Raw genomic sequence first — 18,303 nt, 5'->3', positions numbered from 1 at the left:
CTCGCTGCGAACCAGTCGGTAGTGGGGGGATGGGATGGGACGGCTCAGACTGGCTCACCTCTCTCCAGGCCACACCATGCACATCCACCCACAGGCCGCTGAGAAAAAGGCGCCAAGACGCCAGGTGAAGGTACAGGAGCCAGGCCTCCAAGGGCCGGAAGAGTCGGATGGGCGGAGGGCCTGGGCTAGGCCAAGCCTTCCTCGCGGCCCCGCCCCCACGGCCCGACTCCGCCCGCCCAGCCCGGCGCCCTCGGGTCGGCTGAGCGCTAAGCGCCAGTGTACAGCGGCGGCTGGGGCGGCAGGTGAGGCGGCTGGGGCGTTGCTGTCGTGCGTCCGCAGGCGTCAGGTGCTCAGACCCGAGGGCCGGGAAGGGATTTGGGTTTCACAGGAACCTGGGGCGGGGGTCCGCTATCTTGGGGCTGTCGGGACCGCTGCTTAAATTTGGCCCAGTCCAGACCTCGAGTCGGGCCCCCAGCCAGGCCCACGCCCAGGTCCAGGCCCAGGCCGGTAGGGATCCTCTAGGGTCCCAGCTCGCCTCGATGGAGCTCCTCCCGCCGCTGCCTCAGTCCTTCCTGTTGCTGCTGCTGTTGCCTGCCAAGCCCGCGGCGGGCGAGGACTGGCAGTGCCCGCGCACCCCCTACGCGGCCTCTCGCGACTTTGACGTGAAGTACGTGGTGCCCAGCTTCTCCGCCGGAGGCCTGGTACAGGCCATGGTGACCTACGAGGGCGACAGAAATGAGAGTGCTGTGTTTGTAGCCATACGCAATCGCCTGCATGTGCTTGGGCCTGACCTGAAGTCTGTCCAGAGCCTGGCCACGGGCCCTGCTGGAGACCCTGGCTGCCAGACGTGTGCAGCCTGTGGCCCAGGACCCCACGGCCCTCCCGGTGACACAGACACAAAGGTGCTGGTGCTGGATCCCGCGCTGCCTGCGCTGGTCAGTTGTGGCTCCAGCCTGCAGGGCCGCTGCTTCCTGCATGACCTAGAGCCCCAAGGGACAGCCGTGCATCTGGCAGCGCCAGCCTGCCTCTTCTCAGCCCACCATAACCGGCCCGATGACTGCCCCGACTGTGTGGCCAGCCCATTGGGCACCCGTGTAACTGTGGTTGAGCAAGGCCAGGCCTCCTATTTCTACGTGGCATCCTCACTGGACGCAGCCGTGGCTGCCAGCTTCAGCCCACGCTCAGTGTCTATCAGGCGTCTCAAGGCTGACGCCTCGGGATTCGCACCGGGCTTTGTGGCGTTGTCAGTGCTGCCCAAGCATCTTGTCTCCTACAGTATTGAATACGTGCACAGCTTCCACACGGGAGCCTTCGTATACTTCCTGACTGTACAGCCGGCCAGCGTGACAGATGATCCTAGTGCCCTGCACACACGCCTGGCACGGCTTAGCGCCACTGAGCCAGAGTTGGGTGACTATCGGGAGCTGGTCCTCGACTGCAGATTTGCTCCAAAACGCAGGCGCCGGGGGGCCCCAGAAGGCGGACAGCCCTACCCTGTGCTGCGGGTGGCCCACTCCGCTCCAGTGGGTGCCCAACTTGCCACTGAGCTGAGCATCGCCGAGGGCCAGGAAGTACTATTTGGGGTCTTTGTGACTGGCAAGGATGGTGGTCCTGGCGTGGGCCCCAACTCTGTCGTCTGTGCCTTCCCCATTGACCTGCTGGACACACTAATTGATGAGGGTGTGGAGCGCTGTTGTGAATCCCCAGTCCATCCAGGCCTCCGGCGAGGCCTCGACTTCTTCCAGTCGCCCAGTTTTTGCCCCAACCCGGTAAGCTGAAAGAAGGGGCCCTTACTTGTGAGCTGCATGCACATGGCTGAACACAGGCTGCTTCCCTTCCATCACTGAGGGGATCTGGGGGCGCGGTGGGGGGGCAGGCGGAAAGAAGCATTCTCTCTCACCCAGTTCCTAAGTGCTGGGGTGGTGTGAGAAACCAGCCAGACAAAGGCTACACTGGAGGCTTAGCTCCCAGGCTGGCCCTTGTGGCTGCCTCATCTTGCTCTTTCCCCTACCTGCCCATCATGGCCTCTGGTTTTTTAGGTAGTTTCCCTGGCTATGTGAGGATAGGGTTACATAACCGTGTCTCTGTTAGCATAGCTCCTGAATGCTGGGTAGAATGATGGGCATTCCCTCCTACTTGTCCACCACCCATATCCTCAGGGACACACGCAGAAAAATAGCACTCCCCCCTCCCCTCCCCCACCCCCGCCACCACCACCACCACCACGCACAAATACACAGGGAGATGCTCACAGATTCACAGACTCACAGCTGCTTGCCAACAGTTTCACTTTCCCTTGTTTTGCTCTGCTTTCCAAAGGGGGTGGGACGGGAGTTGTCAGAGAATCTCCCCTTCCTCCACACCCCCTCCCCCCACCCACCCCCATCCTTCTGCCAGCCACCACGTTCCAGGGAGCCTCCTGGGCCTTGGAAGTTGGGAGCTTGTTAGGGAGCCTGCATGTCCTGGGCTTCACTAACGTTTTTGCCATGATTGGGGGTGATTGGGGGAGTACCCAGAACTCATGGAATGGCAGCTTGGTTCTAGAAGGTTCTGGGAGCCTCACTCTAGTCTTGTGCAAGCAACTATAAACATCTGGGGATAAGTAAAGGCCTAGGAAGGGCTGGTTGGAATTGGTCCATCCCAGACTTTTTTTTTTAACTGTATTTGGAGCCCTACCCCAGGCAGGAAGTCTCAAAGCCTGTGCTGAACTGGGGGCTCCTTCCACAGACTCTATCTAGGTTCTCTCCAGCCATCGTGTAGGCAACAGCAGTAAGATTGGACCAAGGAATGGGACCCACAGCTACTGTTCTTAGATTCTCTAGCTATCATCCTGTGGCCCTGGGCCTGCTGTGACATTCTCGAAAGACTCCTTTCCGCTCCTATTGATGCCTCGGAGATGGGAGAACTTACACCCAATGTGAGGTTGGGGGTCTTTAGCCTCCCTCCCTCTGCTGAGTACATCTGGGTTGAGAGGCCCTAGGGTTGGGGACTCCTTGTCTGGGCCTGGGCAGGCCTGCCTGGCCCCTTCTCCTTCCCAATGGGGAGTCAGAACCTCTCCCCAGCTTGCCTAGTGGTCAGTGGGTCAGAAGACACCCAGCACGGCTGGGCAGTGCCAGGCTCCAGGAAGACTAATCTTGGTCCCTGCTCACAGGCTGGCCAGGCCCCCAGGAGGTGTGTGAATCACCCCGTGCAGTGTTTGCCCAGCAACTCTGGGCATGCAGCCACTAGGGCAGCACCCACATAGTGGTTGGCCTCAGGAGGCCTGAGGGACTCAGAGCTGGTGCCTGTCCTCCATGGGACATTGGACACTTACGTGTTTTCAGGAGCTGGGGGCCCCTACCTAAGCCTGGGAACGTAGAGCTAAGGTCCTGGGGCTAGGGACAAGCAGGCTAGGGTGTGGGCCTGACTAAGGTAGGGCTCTATTCCCCTTCAGAGCCCCACCTGTCCCTGAGTCATGCTAGAAACACCTGGCAGCCTTCCGGCTCGGGCCAAGCCAAGCCGATTTCCTGCCTCAAGTGAGGACAAAATCCCAGTCCCCACCCACCCCAAGCTGTAGGCACAAGGTGTATGGGGTTTCGAGGCTCAGCTCCACATCTACTTTTGCCTCCAGGGCTACTAATCAGTGCTGAGGTCTCAGGACTGGGTTAAGCCTCTGTGGTCTGATGGAGCCTTCAGAGGCTCCTGCTTCGAGGAGTGCCCTCCGGGCTGGTGAGAGAGAGTCCTAAGCACCTAGGGCTGGCTACTGAGCCCCGTCTGCACCTCGCACTCAGCTCCAACACCGCGAGTTCATACCCTGGTGTACTGGTTTCCCAGAGCTTCCACAGTCCTCCCCTGGAGCGTGATTGCAGCCCCCAAAAACACCCCCTTGCTAAAAGCAGGGGAGAGGTTAGTACCCCCTAGCTTCCAGAACTTAGTTCTGGCACCCAGGCTGTAGGGGTTTGGTTTATCCCTTTTGTACCCTGAAGGGGGGTATAGGAAGCAGCCAGGAGTACAGGCAGACCTTTGGAGTCTAGGGAGAAGGACCATGTCCCCAACCTTGTGCTGGCCAATTAACTCCAGCATTCAGCCCCTTATGCAAGTGGGGAAACCGAAGCCCAGAGGAGACAGGGTTTGCTGAAGTGCACACAGAGAGTCAGAGAAGAGCCAGCAGGGGGCAGGAGAAGACTCTTGCGGAGCTGAGACTTCCAACTGGGCTCTCCTCTTGAGGGTCTATGATGCCTTGGACCAGAGACCAAACCTCTTGAGCCTGTTTCCTCATCTGTGAGATGTACGGGGTGGGCCAGGCACCGTGGCTCATGCCTGTAATCCCAGCACTCTGGGAGACCAAGGCGGACTAATCACAAGGTCAGGAGTTCGAGACCAGCCTGGCCAACATCGTGAAACCCCCATCTCTACTAAAAATACAAAAAATTAGCCAGGGGTGGTGGCGAGCACCTGTAATCCCAGCTACTCGGGAGGCTGAGGCAGGAGAATCTCTTGAACCCGGGAGGTGTTGCAGTGAGCTGAGATCACACCATTGCCCTCCAGCCCCAGCAACAGTGTGAGACTCCGTCTCAAAAAAAAAAAAAAAAAAAAAAAAAAAAAAAAAGATGTACGGGGTGGTTGTGAGGATGGAATGGGGGTAACTCACCATCAGGATGGGCATGGCAGGGTGGGGCAGGGAGAATGAGGAGTGGACCTTCCAGCCTGGGCCTTCTCCCTGCCCTTGCTACACTGAGAGCCCTGTGGGGGCAATGTGGGATGGTAACCGGCAGGCCCAGGGCCTTCTCCAGTCAGGCCAGGTGAGGGGTGAGAGTGTTGGGCTGCTGTGGCCACTGACAAAGGCCCCAGAGGGTCGGGGCACAAGGCTGAACCCTGACTCCTTCCCTTCCCTGACCTTTCCCAGCCTGGCCTGGAAGCCCTCAGCCCCAACACCAGCTGCCGCCACTTCCCTCTGCTGGTCAGTAGCAGCTTCTCACGTGTGGACCTATTCAATGGGCTGTTGGGACCAGTACAGGTCACTGCATTGTATGTGACACGCCTTGACAACGTCACAGTGGCACACATGGGCACAATGGATGGGCGTATCCTGCAGGTGGGTCCTCATCCCCACAGTCCCCTAGCCCTGGGTCCTTGTCTCCATCCCCATTTTGCTCACATCTGACCTGTCCTAGGTGGAGCTGGTCAGGTCACTAAACTACTTGCTGTATGTGTCCAACTTCTCACTGGGTGACAGTGGGCAGCCCGTGCAGCGGGATGTCAGTCGTCTTGGGGACCACCTACTCTTTGCCTCTGGGGACCAGGTGAGGTGGGCAGGGGCAGGGCCTGGGGCCAGGGTTGTGGGATCACAGACTCTCCATCCAATCCAGGGAGGCATTGACATACAGGCCCTACCACCCTAGCCTACTGTGTACCGGGAGGGTCTATAGGGCCCAATCTCTCCCTCCAGGCACCCCTGAGTCACCTGTCTTTCACCCACAGGTTTTCCAGGTACCTATCCAAGGCCCTGGCTGCCGCCACTTCCTGACCTGTGGGCGTTGCCTAAGGGCATGGCATTTCATGGGCTGTGGCTGGTGTGGGAACATGTGCGGCCAGCAGAAGGAGTGTCCTGGCTCCTGGCAACAGGACCACTGCCCACCTAAGCTTACTGAGGTATGGCTTCCCTGGCAGGGCACAGGTAAGAGTGGGACAGGCTGGGCCTGGGGTGGTGGTCAGCAAGTCTTGATCACAATTTTTCTCAGGTCTGGGGGGTGTCCTTCATATCTACAAGGAGGGCATTCTTGTCAGAGGGGATGCCACATGCAAAGACTTGGAGGCAGGAAAGTGCTTGAATGCAAGTGACTCCAAATGGCTGGAGCGTGGGGAAGGCAAGGGGTATGGCAGGAGACTTTGGGGAAGCAGGTGGGGCTGAGAGAGCCCAACCCCACATGAGGACTCAGGCTGTTTCCCCCATTTCAGTTCCACCCCCACAGTGGACCTCTAAGGGGCAGTACAAGGCTGACCCTGTGTGGCTCCAACTTCTACCTTCACCCTTCTGGTCTGGTGCCTGAGGGAACCCATCAGGTCACTGTGGGCCAAAGTCCCTGCCGGCCACTGCCCAAGGACAGCTCAAAACTCAGGTACAATCTGGTCCCTCCCCTCCCTTTCCCTGAAGGGGGAAACCAAGCAGCCCCTTCCCCATGAGACCCTGTTCTCTGCTTATCAGAGGCAAGGGGGGATGGGGGAAGCTGCAGTGGTTCTGACTGCTTTTTGAGAGTCAAAAAGGTCTCTGTCCCTTTTTGAGCTTTCATGTGCCCTTCCTGTCTGTTCACTCATGGACCAGCCAAGGTTAATCTCTGCCCCACCAGAACCTTCCTTCCATGGAGGGAGGCATGGGTGGAGAAATGCCATTCTCTGGCTCAGAGGAGCCCTGTGGCTTGTGGCAGGCATGCATCTAGGCCTGTGTAATTCCTGGCTGACCTCAGGGGTTCCCCTGGTGCCCCAGACCAGTGCCCCGGAAAGACTTTGTAGAGGAGTTTGAGTGTGAACTGGAGCCCTTGGGCACCCAGGCAGTGGGGCCTACCAACGTCAGCCTCACCGTGACTAACATGCCACCGGGCAAGCACTTCCGGGTAGACGGCACCTCCGTGCTGAGAGGCTTCTCTTTCATGGTGAGGCTACCTTGCCCTGTCTGTGCCCTTGGCCAGTGCATGGTACGGGAAGGGAGGGGCTTGGAGTGGAGGACCTGCCTAAGCCACCTCTATGTCCTCTTAGGAGCCAGTGCTGATAGCAGTGCAACCCCTCTTTGGCCCACGGGCAGGAGGCACCTGTCTCACTCTTGAAGGCCAGAGTCTGTCTGTAGGCACCAGCCGGGCTGTGCTGGTCAATGGGACTGAGTGTCTGCTAGCACGGTAAGTACCACCAGGCAGGCATGGGAGGCCGCAGGGTTCTATCCAGGTGGGGACCCGGATTCTGTCAGGATGGAGGGAAGAGTGCTTGTTACATGGTCAGTGTGGTGTGGAGAGCAGGTCCAGGAAGAAAAGACTACTGCCCTCTTCAGCCCAGAGGCAAGAGAGCCCATCACAGAGTCCAATGGCTCCAGCCAAGGCTGTGGGGAACCTGTTCCCTCCTTACCCTCTTGGGATGTCTTCCTGGGACCACCTTATTTTCAGACAGACCATGGAGTGGGGCAGGTGGGAGAGATAACAGACGAACTGGGAGAGGTCAACAGGCCCCTGGAAGAAGTGGGCCTGGCCATCACAAAGAGGGTAACCTTGAGCCCAATCTCTTGTTCCTGTAGGGTCAGTGAGGGGCAGCTTTTATGTGCCACACCCCCTGGGGCCACGGTGGCCAGTGTCCCCCTTAGCCTGCAGGTGGGGGGTGCCCAGGTACCTGGTTCCTGGACCTTCCAGTACAGAGAAGACCCTGTCGTGCTAAGCATCAGCCCCAACTGTGGCTACATGTAAGCACTGCCTCTTTGCCCACTCTGGCCTCTGGGGAATGAGAGAGCCAGCTTTGGAGAACACCCAAAGCCTACCACCCTACCCTCTTCCACAGCAACTCCCACATCACCATCTGTGGCCAGCATCTAACTTCAGCATGGCACTTAGTGCTGTCATTCCATGACGGGCTTAGGGCAGTGGAAAGCAGGGTGAGTGAGTGCTGGCCAGGAGGGAGGAAGGCTGGATGAGTTCCCTGAGCTGCAGCCCAACCTCGTGCTGGGCTGAGGCGAGGAGCAATCACAGGTGGGGTTCCTGGCTAATCACTCTCATATTGGTCCCAGCAGTGTGAGAGGCAGCTTCCAGAGCAGCAGCTGTGCCGCCTTCCTGAATATGTGGTCCGAGACCCCCAGGGATGGGTGGCAGGGAATCTGAGTGCCCGAGGGGATGGAGCTGCTGGCTTTACACTGCCTGGCTTTCGCTTCCTACCCCCACCCCATCCACCCAGTGCCAACCTAGTTCCACTGAAGCCTGAGGAGCATGCCATTAAGTTTGAGGTAAGTGTAAGGGATAGGGGCAGGGACAGTTGGGGATCTGAAAGTAGGGGCCAGCCTACTGGCTGGTCCTCATGACCCTCTCTGCAGTATATTGGGCTGGGCGCTGTGGCTGACTGTGTGGGTATCAACGTGACCGTGGGTGGTGAGAGCTGCCAGCACGAGTTCCGGGGGGACATGGTTGTCTGCCCCCTGCCCCCATCCCTGCAGCTTGGCCAGGATGGTGCCCCATTGCAGGTAGGCAGCCCAGCTGGACCTCCCTGGGAAACACGGGCAGAGGGCCTACAGGCTGGGCCTGAGTTGCCACCTGCCCCCAGGTCTGCGTAGATGGTGAATGTCATATCCTGGGTAGAGTGGTGCGGCCAGGGCCAGATGGGGTCCCACAGAGCACGCTCCTTGGTATCCTGCTGCCTTTGCTGCTGCTTGTGGCTGCACTGGCGACTGCACTGGTCTTCAGCTACTGGTGGCGGAGGAAGCAGCTAGGTGAGTTCTCTGCTCCTACCTTTAATCAGCCCCTACCCCCAACCAATGGCATCTTCAAGTCCCTACATCCTCTCTCTGCCCAGGACTTAGGGATCTAAGTCCTCCCCAGAGGGGTCGGCCCCTAGGAGCTTGGAAAGCCAAGCCACCAAGGATTCTCTTTCCACAGTTCTTCCTCCCAACCTGAATGACCTGGCATCCCTGGACCAGACTGCTGGAGCCACACCCCTGCCTATTCTGTACTCGGGCTCTGACTACAGAAGTGGCCTTGGTGAGATAGTGGAGGCATGAGAAGCTAAAGCCACCCCCTGTCCCTACAAGCTCCTCATTCCCTCTCCCCACAGCACTCCCTGCCATTGATGGTCTGGATTCCACCACTTGTGTCCATGGAGCATCCTTCTCCGATAGTGAAGATGAATCCTGTGTGCCACTGCTGCGGAAAGAGTCCATCCAGCTAAGGGACCTGGACTCTGCGCTCTTGGCTGAGGTCAAGGATGTGCTGATTCCCCATGAGCGGGTGGTCACCCACAGTGACCGAGTCATTGGCAAAGGTGTGGGGGCCAGGTGGGGCTGGGGCAGAGATGGAGTCTCAAGATGACATAGGCTAGGCCAGGCGTGGTGGCTCACTCCTGTAATCCCAGCACTTTGGGAGGCCGAGGCGGGCAGATCATGAGGTCAGGAGATCGAGACCGTCCTGGCTAACACAGTGAAACCCCGTCTCTACTAAAAATACAAAAAAATATTAGCCAGCCATGGTGGCAGGCGCCTGTAGTCCCAGCTACTTGGGAGGCTGAGGCAGGAGAATGGCATGAACTCGGGAGGCGGAGCTTGCAGTGAGCCAAGATTGCACCACTGCACTCCAGCCTGGGCGACAGAGCGAGACTCCTTCTCAAAAAAAAAAAAAATGACATGGGCTAAAGGGACAGTTGGAACAGATACTGCTCTAACCTTCTCACCAACCTGTGTGACCTTGGGTATACCACTTAACCTCTCTGAGCCTCCATTTGCTCATCTGTAAAATGGGGATGAGAAAAGTTCTGTCTTCAGTGGGTTCTGGTGTGGATCAATCAGGCATAGGAAGATTGTAGCCTCTGCCATCAAGTGGCTGCTGTTTGTTTTTGGTTTTATTTATGGTTTTGTTTTTGTTTTTGTGACAGGGTCTCACTCTGTTACCCAGGCTGGAGTGCAATGGCACAATCATGGCTCACTGCAGCCTCGACCTCCCCAGCCTCAGGTGATCCTCCTGCCTCAGCCTCCTGAGTAGCTGGGATTACAATCATGCACCACCATGCCTGGCTAATTTTTTGTTTATTTTTTGTAGAGATGGGCCTCGAATCATGTTGTCCAGGCTGGCCTCGAACTCCTGGACTCAAGCAATCTGCCTGCCTAACCTTCCCAAAGTGCTGGGATTACAGGCATGAGCCACCGAACCCAGCCTGTTTTATTATATTTATTTTATTTTATTTTTATTTTTATTCTATTTTATTATTATTATTTTTTTTGAGACAGAATTTCACTCTTGTTGCCCAGGCTGGAGTGCAATGGCGCGATCTCGGCTCATTGCAACCTCCTCCTCCCGGGTTCAAGTGATTCTCCTGTCTCAGCTTCCTGAGTAGCTAGGATTACAGGCGCCTGCCACAACACCCGGCTAATTTTTAGTATTTTTGGTAGAGATAGGATTTCACCATGTTGGCCAGGCCGGTCTCGAACTCCTGACCTCAGGTGATCCGCCCGCCTCAGCCTCCCAAAGTGCTAGGATTACAGGCATGAGCCACTGCCCCCAGCCTATTTTATTTTATTTTATTTTTTTTTTTTTTTTGAGAGGGAGTCTCACTCTTTCACCCAGGCTGGAGTGCAGTGGCGCGATCTCGACTCACTGCAAGCTCCGCCTCCCAGGTTCATGCCATTCTCCTGCCTCAGCCTCCCAAGTAGCTGGGACTACAGGCGCCTGCCACCGTGCCCGGCTAATTTTTTGTATTTTTAGTAGAGATGGGGTTTCACCGTGTTAGCCAGGATGGTCTCGATCTCCTGACCTCATGATCCACCCGCCTCAGCCTCCCAAAGTGCTGGGATTACAGGTGTGAGCCACCGCGCCCGGCCTATTTTATTTTTTCAAGATGGAGTCTTGCTCTATCACCCAGGCTGGAGTGCAGTGGTGCAATCTTGGCTCACTGCAACCTCCCCCTCCCAGGTTCAAGCAATTCTCCTGCCTCACCCTCCCTAGTAGCTGGGATTACAGGCGCCCGCCACCACACCTGGCTAATTTTTGTATTTTTAGTAGAGATGGGGTTTCACCATGTTGGCCAGGCTGGTCTCAAACTCCTAACCTCAGGTGATCTGCCTGCCTTGATCTCCCAAAGTGCTGGGATTACAGGCGTGAGCCACTGTATCCAGCCTATTTATTTATTTATTTATTTATTTATTTATTTATTTATTTTTGAGACAGAACCTCACTCTGTCACCCAGGCTGGAGTGCAGTGGCATGATCTCAGCTCACTGCAACCTCTGCCTCCCGGATTCAAGTGATTCTCCTGCCTCAGCCTCCTAAGTAGCTGGGATTACAGACGTGCACCACCAAGCCCGTCTAATTTTTGTATTTTTAGTAGAAATGGAGTTTCATCATGTTGGCCAGGCTGGTCTCAAACTCCCGACCTCAGGTGATCCGCCCGCCTCGGCCTCCCGAAGTGCTGGGATTACAGGCGTGAGCCATCGCACCCGACCCTGCTTTATTTACTTATTTATTTATTTTTATTTTTTTGAGACAGAGTCTCACTCTATTGCCCAGGCTGGAGTGCAGTAGTGCAATCTCGGCTCACTGCAACCTCTGCCTCCTGGATTCAAGCATTTCTCCTGCCTCAGCCTCCTGAGTAGCTGGGATTACAGGGGCCTGCCACTGCCACCACACCTGTCTAATTTTTGTAGTTTTAGTAGAGACGGGGTTTCATCATGTTGGCCAGACTGGTCTTGAACCCCTGACCTCAGCTGATCCTCCCGCCCCAGCATCCCAAAGTATTAGGATTAAAGGCATGAGCCTTTTTTTTTTTTTTTTAATTTAAAAAAAAGACAGCATCTCACTATGTTACCCAGGCTGGCCTTGAACTCCTGGGCTTATGCGATTCTCTTGCCTCAGCCTCCTGAGTAACTGGGATTACAGGCGCACTGCGCTTGGCTTCTGCTGCTTTTCTTTGAGGGGGATGGAGTCTCGCCCTGTCTCTCAGGCTGGAGTGCAGTGACACGATCTTGGCTCACTGCAACCTCTGCCTCCCGGGTTCAAGCTATCCTCCTGCCTCAGGCTCCCAAGCAGCTGGGACTAGAGATGGGGTTTCACCATATTAGCCAGGCTGGTCTCAAACTCCTGACCTCGTGATCCACCCGCCTTGGCCTCTCAAAGTGCTGGCATTACAGGTGTGAGCCACTGCACGCAGCCCTGCTGCTTTTTTAAAATGTCAGATTGGGCCGGGTGTGGTGGCTCACACCTGTAATCCCAGCACTTTGGGAGGCCTAGGTGGGTGAATCACAAGATCAGGAGTTTGAGACCAGCCTGGCCAACATGGTGAAACCCAGTCTCTACTAAAAATACAAAAAAATTAGCTGTGTGTAGTGGCAGTTGCCTGTAATCCCAGCTACTCAGGAGGCTGAGGCAGGAGAATCACTTGAACCTGGGAGGCAGAGGTTGCAATGAGTTGAGATTGCACCACTGCACTTCAGCCTGGGCAAGAGTGAGACTCGGTCTCAAAAAAAATAAATAAAAATTAAAAATAAATAAAATGTCAGATTGGCCAGTTTAGTGCTCTGAGGTCTGGTTGCCAATGAGAATGTGTGGTGTGAGCCTTGGGCCCTGGATCCCCTCTCATCGACTCATTATGCACCTCACACCAGGCCACTTTGGAGTTGTCTACCACGGAGAATACATAGACCAGGCCCAGAATCGAATCCAATGTGCCATCAAGTCACTAAGTCGTAAGTGGGGCAGAAGATGGGAAGGCAGAGGGAGGGGCCTCAGGCTGGGAGGATTCTTTTTCTCTGTGTTCCCACCTTACTGAGTGACCCTGAGCAGGAGACCTTCATTTCCCATTTCCCCATCTGAGCCTTATAAAGGGACGCCCTGCCCTGTGCCTGACTTGCGCTGCTCTGCAGGCATCACAGAGATGCAGCAGGTGGAGGCCTTCCTGCGAGAGGGGCTGCTCATGCGTGGCCTGAACCACCCGAATGTGCTGGCTCTCATTGGTATCATGTTGCCACCTGAGGGCCTGCCCCATGTGCTGCTGCCCTATATGTGCCACGGTGACCTGCTCCAGTTCATCCGCTCACCTCAGCGGGTCAGTGTTCATCTGGCTCTGGGTTGGGGGCTGGGCAGCAGCTGGAGAAGGAGCTGCTGTGCCCTTGCCCACCAACCCACCTGTGCCCCCAGAACCCCACCGTGAAGGACCTCATCAGCTTTGGCCTGCAGGTAGCCCGCGGCATGGAGTACCTGGCAGAGCAGAAGTTTGTGCACAGGGACCTGGCTGCGCGGAACTGCATGTGAGAGTCCAGAGTAGCTGGGGTGAAGCAAAAGGACAGGGCATGAGGGTGTGCGGTGCTCAAGGCCGCCTCAGGGAAGGGCCCACTCCAGCCTTGTCCTCCCCTCTCTGCACCTTACTTTTTTTGTCTGCCCAGTGCAGACTTGGACTGGACACTGTGGCTTTGAAATTTGGCCAGGCGCGGTGGCTCACGTCTGTAATCCCAGCACTTTGGGAGGCTGAGGAAGGCGGATCATGAGGTCAGGAGATCGAGACCATCCTGGCTAACACGGTGAAACCCCGTCTCTACTAAAAATACAAAAAGATTAGCCAGGCGTGGTGGCGGGCCCCTGTAGTCCCAGCTACTCAGGAGGCTGAGGCGGGAGAATGGCGTGACCCCAGGAGGCAGAGCTTGCAGTGAGCGGAGATCGCGCCACTGCACTCCAGCCTGGGTGACAGAGCGAGACTCCGTCTCAAAAAAAAAAAAAATTCTGTAAGGGCCTAGAACAGGTGGGTTCAGGGCCTGGTAAGGGCCAGTCCTAAGTGTGATCCTCTCCCTACCCCTAAGGCTGGACGAGTCATTCACAGTCAAGGTGGCTGACTTTGGTTTGGCCCGCGACATCCTGGACAGGGAGTACTATAGTGTTCAACAGCATCGCCACGCTCGCCTACCTGTGAAGTGGATGGCGCTGGAGAGCCTGCAGACCTATAGATTTACCACCAAGTCTGATGTGGTGAGGCCCCACCTGCCCTACAGTCCACATGGCTTTGGCACCCAAGAACACTGGGCCTCACCCATTCAGCTCTGAATGATCTGAGCCCAGGGAGTCCCCAGGGTAGATGACCCCCACAGCCCATCTGCTCACCTCTTGGGCAGATGTAAGATGGAATCTGACACCTGCCAGGGCTAGAGGAGGCTGGGAACTCACTGGCTCCTCACAGATAATCCAGGGCCTGCCCAGCCCCAACTCTGGGTAGGATGAGGTAGTGGGAGGAGACAGAGGAAAGACACAGGTGATGTATTGAGGAATGAGCTCTCAGTGGAGGGTAGGGTCTTCCATTTCCAGCTGAAGGACTCTGGGAGGTAGAAGCCCTGGGGGACCCACCTGCCCCCAAATTTGGGGTGAGTTGAGTCCCCTCACCTCCCCCTTTCCACAGTGGTCATTTGGTGTGCTGCTGTGGGAACTGCTGACACGGGGTGCCCCACCATACCGCCACATTGACCCTTTTGACCTTACCCACTTCCTGGCCCAGGGTCGGCGCCTGCCCCAGCCTGAGTATTGCCCTGATTCTCTGTGAGTATGTGGAGGTGGTAGTGGGGAGGGAACTGGGCCCCAGAGACATGGAAGAGACAGGAGACAGAGCTCCTGCCTGGCTTCCTGACTGAACTTCTGGTTGACTAGGAAAGGGACTCTCGCTGGGCCTCAATTTCCTCATCTGTGAACTGGTCCCACCCTCATGCAGAGTAGGACCCTGGGAGGACCTCACAGTTGCCATGGTAACAGCATTCTGAGCTCAGAGTTGGGGTTGAGGCCCGTGGTTTGATTTTCCCAGTGCTCCTCCTACCCGACTCCCACTAACGGGGTCTGCTTTCCACCTTTTCCTCTCATTTAATCTCGAGGAAAGATTCCATAACCCCCACAGCAACCCCCTCTGGATCTCCAGGTCAGGTTTTTTCACTGTATGTGGTTTCAGATTCCCCATTCCTGGAGGGATGGCGGCAGCTGCATTGTCCTCAGTGCCTACGGGGTGGGTTCGGTGCTGAGGTTCAGCTTCATACGTAGCAGGTGTGCCTGAGCTGTGGCTAGGTCTGCTGGGTTAGAACAGAGAGAACCAGGACATAGGTAAAAGTAGTTAACGCCTCCTGTCTCAGGCTGTGCTCCAAGAAGGATGCGAGTAGCCCTTCCTCACAGTCCTACCTGCCTTGGGTTTGCTCTTACTATTCACTTCTTTAATTCACTGCCTACCCATATCCAGATTGGGCTCCTGGAAACAGACTCAGCTGGAGATTTATGTACGGGGATTTACTGAGAGGTTGGGGGCAAGGGAAGAAGGACTGGGCAGGAGAAATGTCACAGAAACTGCAGCCCATCCCACAGGGACTGCTTGAACTGGGATGACCCACCACAGTTTTCTGAAATTGAGACCAACAGGCCAGGTCTTTGTACCAGGCATTAATCAGTTACTAGTCACAGGCTGTCCCTGGTGAGGGGATGTGAGCTTGGCAGAGGCAGTTCTCTTCTGCCTAGGGCAATTCCTAGAGAGAGCCTCAGTCAAGAACCATCAGCAGGCAACACTCCTAGCCACTGGGAAAGTAAAGGGGTATCTGGGTGGCACACCATAGGGTCCACTTCAGCAGTCCAGCCCTTCTCCTCTCTGGGCCTCAATTTCCTCATCTGTAAAGTGGAGACAACAGTACCACCTTCCGAGAGTCTGAGAATTATATGAGATATTGTGTGTAGGGTAGAGTATTATTTCAGGCAGGAATGACATCCCCAAGATAATGGGGCAGGCACTAGGACCCAGCAGGTAAACCTGGGGAACCTCTGCTTCAGGACCAGGGTGCCACTGGTGCTGCCCCAAATGCTCTTGCTTCAGAATTTTTTTTTTTTTTTTTGAGACAGAGTCTCACTCTGATGCCCAGGCTGGAGTGCGGTGGCGCAATGTTGGCTCACTGCAACCTCTGCCTCCCAGGTTCAAGTGATTCTCCTACCTCAGCCTCCTGAGTAACTGGGACTACAGGCGTGTGCCACCACGCCCAGTAATTTTTTTTTTTTTTTTTTGAGATGGAGTCTCGCTCTGTTGCCCAGGCTGGAGTGCAGTGGTGCAATCTCGGCTCACTGCAAGCTCCGCCTCCCGGGTTCACGCCATTCTCCTGCCTCAGCCTCCCGAGTAGCTGGGACTACAGGCGCCTGCCACGACGCCCGGCTAATATTTTGTGTTTTTAGTAGAGACGGGGTTTCACTGTGTTAGCCAGGATGGTCTCGATCTCCTGACCTCGTGATCCACCCACCTTGGCCTCCCAAAGTGCTGGGATTACAGGCGTGAGCCACCACGCCCAGCTTTGCCCAGTTAATTTTTGTATTTTTAGTAGAGATGGGGTTTCACTATGTTGGCCAGGCTGGTCTCGAACTCCTGACCTCGTGACCTGCCCACCTCAGCCTCCCAAAGTGCTGGGATTACAGGCATGAGCCACTGCCCCCGGCCACTTCAGGATTTTTAATTCCTGCTTTGCTGGACCCAGGCTTCCTTCCTGGAAGAACTGTGATGATGACCATTGTACCTCGTGAGCTGGGCCTTGTGCCTAGCACTTCACAGGCATCAGCCTATATGCCTACTTCTCTGTGATCAGAGGAGGACCCAGAGGCACAGAGAAGTTAAGGAACTTATCCAAGATCACATAGCCCAGGCCACAGGGCACAGGAGCCCAAGCTCTTAACACCTGAGGTAGTTCGACCTCTGCCAGGGTGGGAAGGCAGGACTGGAACAGTAATCATAGGGATGAGAAGAGCTGCCCCTGATTGGGTAGTGCTAGGTACTAGGTCCTGTCATCTATCCTCATCCCTGTGTGGCCTGCCAGAGGTTTAACAGCAAGTGGGTGGCCCAGAATCCTTGGGTGGAAATTGCCTTAACCTGACATCCCTTTCCCCCAACAGGTACCAAGTGATGCAGCAATGCTGGGAGGCAGACCCAGCAGTGCGACCCACCTTCAGAGTACTAGTGGGGGAGGTGGAGCAGATAGTGTCTGCACTGCTTGGGGACCATTATGTGCAGCTGCCAGCAACCTACATGAACTTGGGCCCCAGCACCTCGCATGAGATGAATGTGCGTCCAGAACAGCCGCAGTTCTCACCCATGCCAGGGAATGTACGCCGGCCCCGGCCACTCTCAGAGCCTCCTCGGCCCACTTGACTTAGTTCTTGGGCTGGACCTGCTTAGCTGCCTTGAGCTAACCCCAAGCTGCCTCTGGGCCATGCCAGGCCAGAGGGCAGTGGCCCTCCACCTTGTTCCTGCCCTTTAACTTTCAGAGGCAATAGGTAAATGGGGCCCATTAGGTCCCTCACTCCACAGAGTGAGCCAGTGAGGGCAGTCCTGCAACATGTATTTATGGAGTGCCTGCTGTGGACCCTGTCTTCTGGGCACAGTGGACTCAGCAGTGACCACACCAACACTGACCCTTGAACCAATAAAGGAACAAATGACTATTAAAGCACAAATTGTAGCAAACAGTGTGAAAGAATGACAGGAGGCTGCTATAAATAGCTGAATAGAGAGGCAAGGGAAGCCTCCCAGGAGGTGACATTTTGCTGAGGCCTTATCAACCGGGGAAAAACCACCAGAAACAGTGTTGAGGAAAGAGGGTTTTTGGCAGAGAGTCACACATGCAAAGACCCTGAGGCTGGAAAGGAGTTGGATCAGCAAGAAGGATTTTGAGAACAGGGAGGGTGAGCAAGGCCCAGATCCAGGTCCTAGGGCTCTGGGGACTGTTAGATGGAACCAAGGAAGTAGGCTGAGTACCCAAGCATGCAGTGACCAGGATGGTTTCTTCCATGGCTCAGGCTGCCTCCTCCCCTTTCCCCAGCCCTAGCACTTCTCCAGGGCTCCCTGCTCGATCTGCAGTGCCCACCGTCACACCATCCAGGATGGAATGGGGCCTGCCATCTGGGGCATAGAGGCTTGGGTCCCAGCAACACTGCCAGCATTGATTGCGCTTGTAGCCTTAAGAGAGATAAGCCAGCAGCAAGGCCTCAACTCCACACTTTCTTTTTTTTTTTTTGAGACGGAGTCTCGCTCTGTCGCCCAGGCCGGACTGCGGACTGCAGTGGCGCAATCTCGGCTCACTGCAAGCTCCGCTTCCCGGGTTCACGCCATTCTCCTGCCTCAGCCTCCCGAGTAGCTGGGACTACAGGCGCCCGCCACCGCGCCCGGCTAATTTTTTGTATTTTTAGTAGAGACGGGGTTTCACCTTGTTAGCCAGGATGGTCTCGATCTCCTGACCTCATGATCCACCCGCCTCGGCCTCCCAAAGTGCTGGGATTACAGGCGTGAGCCACCGCACCCGGCCTAACTCCACACTTTCAAGGAGCCAACTTCTGGCCAGGTGCGGTGGCTCATGCCTGTAATCCCAGCACTTTGGGAGGCTGAGGCAGGCGGATCACTTGAGGTCAGCAGTTTGAGACCAGCCTGACCAAGATGGTGAAACCCTGTCTCTACTAAAATTACAAAAATTAAGCTGTGTGTGGTGGTGCACGCCTGCAATCCCAGGTACTCAGGAGGCTGAGGTGGGAGACTCGCTTGAACTTGGGAGGCGGAGGTTGCAGTGAGCCGAGATCGGGTTACTGCACTCTAGCATGGGCGACAGAGTGAGACTCC

At 56.0% G+C, this 18,303-nt stretch overlaps 1 protein-coding gene across 31 annotated transcripts, besides 4 other annotated features; it reads left to right on the top strand.

Annotated features, from left to right (window-relative positions):
• Nucleotides 132-351: a silencer, noted in NCBI's record as "silent region_14376". NCBI's record gives its function as "represses an Ori minimal core promoter by ATAC-STARR-seq in GM12878 lymphoblastoid cells {active_cell/tissue: GM12878}" and the evidence as "EXISTENCE:reporter gene assay evidence [ECO:0000049][PMID:35858748]".
• MST1R (macrophage stimulating 1 receptor) lies at nt 276-17,147 on the top strand. Of its 31 annotated transcripts, XR_001740155.2 has the most exons (21): nt 276-1,769; nt 4,886-5,074; nt 5,154-5,282; nt 5,461-5,631; nt 5,938-6,098; nt 6,464-6,629; nt 6,733-6,869; nt 7,259-7,420; nt 7,516-7,609; nt 7,742-7,954; nt 8,042-8,188; nt 8,269-8,434; nt 8,601-8,702; nt 8,776-8,982; nt 12,311-12,391; nt 12,569-12,750; nt 12,843-12,952; nt 13,499-13,664; nt 14,089-14,225; nt 14,334-14,428; nt 16,587-17,147. XR_001740155.2 is itself a non-coding variant. In XM_047448162.1 (20 exons), the coding sequence occupies exons 1-20, from the start codon at nt 540-542 to the stop codon at nt 16,840-16,842; spliced, it is 4,083 nt and encodes a 1,360-aa protein (XP_047304118.1). In that variant the 5' UTR covers nt 276-539; the 3' UTR covers nt 16,843-17,147. The 31 variants fall into 31 exon arrangements, 29 of the variants coding, with proteins under 29 accessions (XP_047304118.1, NP_002438.2, XP_011532041.1 ...); NR_134919.2 differs by lacking the exon at nt 14,334-14,428 and having other exon boundaries at nt 7,745-7,954; nt 8,776-8,918; XM_047448162.1 differs by lacking the exon at nt 14,334-14,428 and having other exon boundaries at nt 7,745-7,954; nt 8,162-8,188.
• Nucleotides 578-1,251: an enhancer, noted in NCBI's record as "H3K27ac-H3K4me1 hESC enhancer chr3:49940331-49941004 (GRCh37/hg19 assembly coordinates)". NCBI's record gives its function as "activates a minimal SCP1, AML or CMV promoter by ChIP-STARR-seq in naive H9 embryonic stem cells {active_cell/tissue: H9 hESC(naive)}" and the evidence as "EXISTENCE:reporter gene assay evidence [ECO:0000049][PMID:30033119]".
• Nucleotides 1,252-1,925: an enhancer, noted in NCBI's record as "H3K4me1 hESC enhancer chr3:49939657-49940330 (GRCh37/hg19 assembly coordinates)". NCBI's record gives its function as "activates a minimal SCP1, AML or CMV promoter by ChIP-STARR-seq in naive H9 embryonic stem cells {active_cell/tissue: H9 hESC(naive)}" and the evidence as "EXISTENCE:reporter gene assay evidence [ECO:0000049][PMID:30033119]".
• Nucleotides 6,139-6,639: an enhancer, noted in NCBI's record as "H3K4me1 hESC enhancer chr3:49934943-49935443 (GRCh37/hg19 assembly coordinates)". NCBI's record gives its function as "activates a minimal SCP1, AML or CMV promoter by ChIP-STARR-seq in primed H9 embryonic stem cells {active_cell/tissue: H9 hESC(primed)}" and the evidence as "EXISTENCE:reporter gene assay evidence [ECO:0000049][PMID:30033119]".

Source organism: Homo sapiens, chromosome 3 (assembly GCF_000001405.40).
Source record: "Homo sapiens chromosome 3, GRCh38.p14 Primary Assembly".
NCBI lineage: Eukaryota > Metazoa > Chordata > Mammalia > Primates > Hominidae > Homo > Homo sapiens.
This window is presented reverse-complemented; position numbering and strand designations above follow the sequence as displayed.

Coding starts and splice junctions, on each gene's coding strand:
- MST1R (XM_005265170.5), top strand. CDS start 540: ATGGAGCTCCTCCCGCCGCTGCCTCAGTCCTTCCTGTTGCTGCTGCTG. Junction 6,630..6,732: donor TGAGAGGCTTCTCTTTCATG/GTGAGGCTACCT, acceptor ATGTCCTCTTAG/GAGCCAGTGCTGATAGCAGT. Junction 12,953..13,498: donor CTGGCTGCGCGGAACTGCAT/GTGAGAGTCCAG, acceptor CCTACCCCTAAG/GCTGGACGAGTCATTCACAG.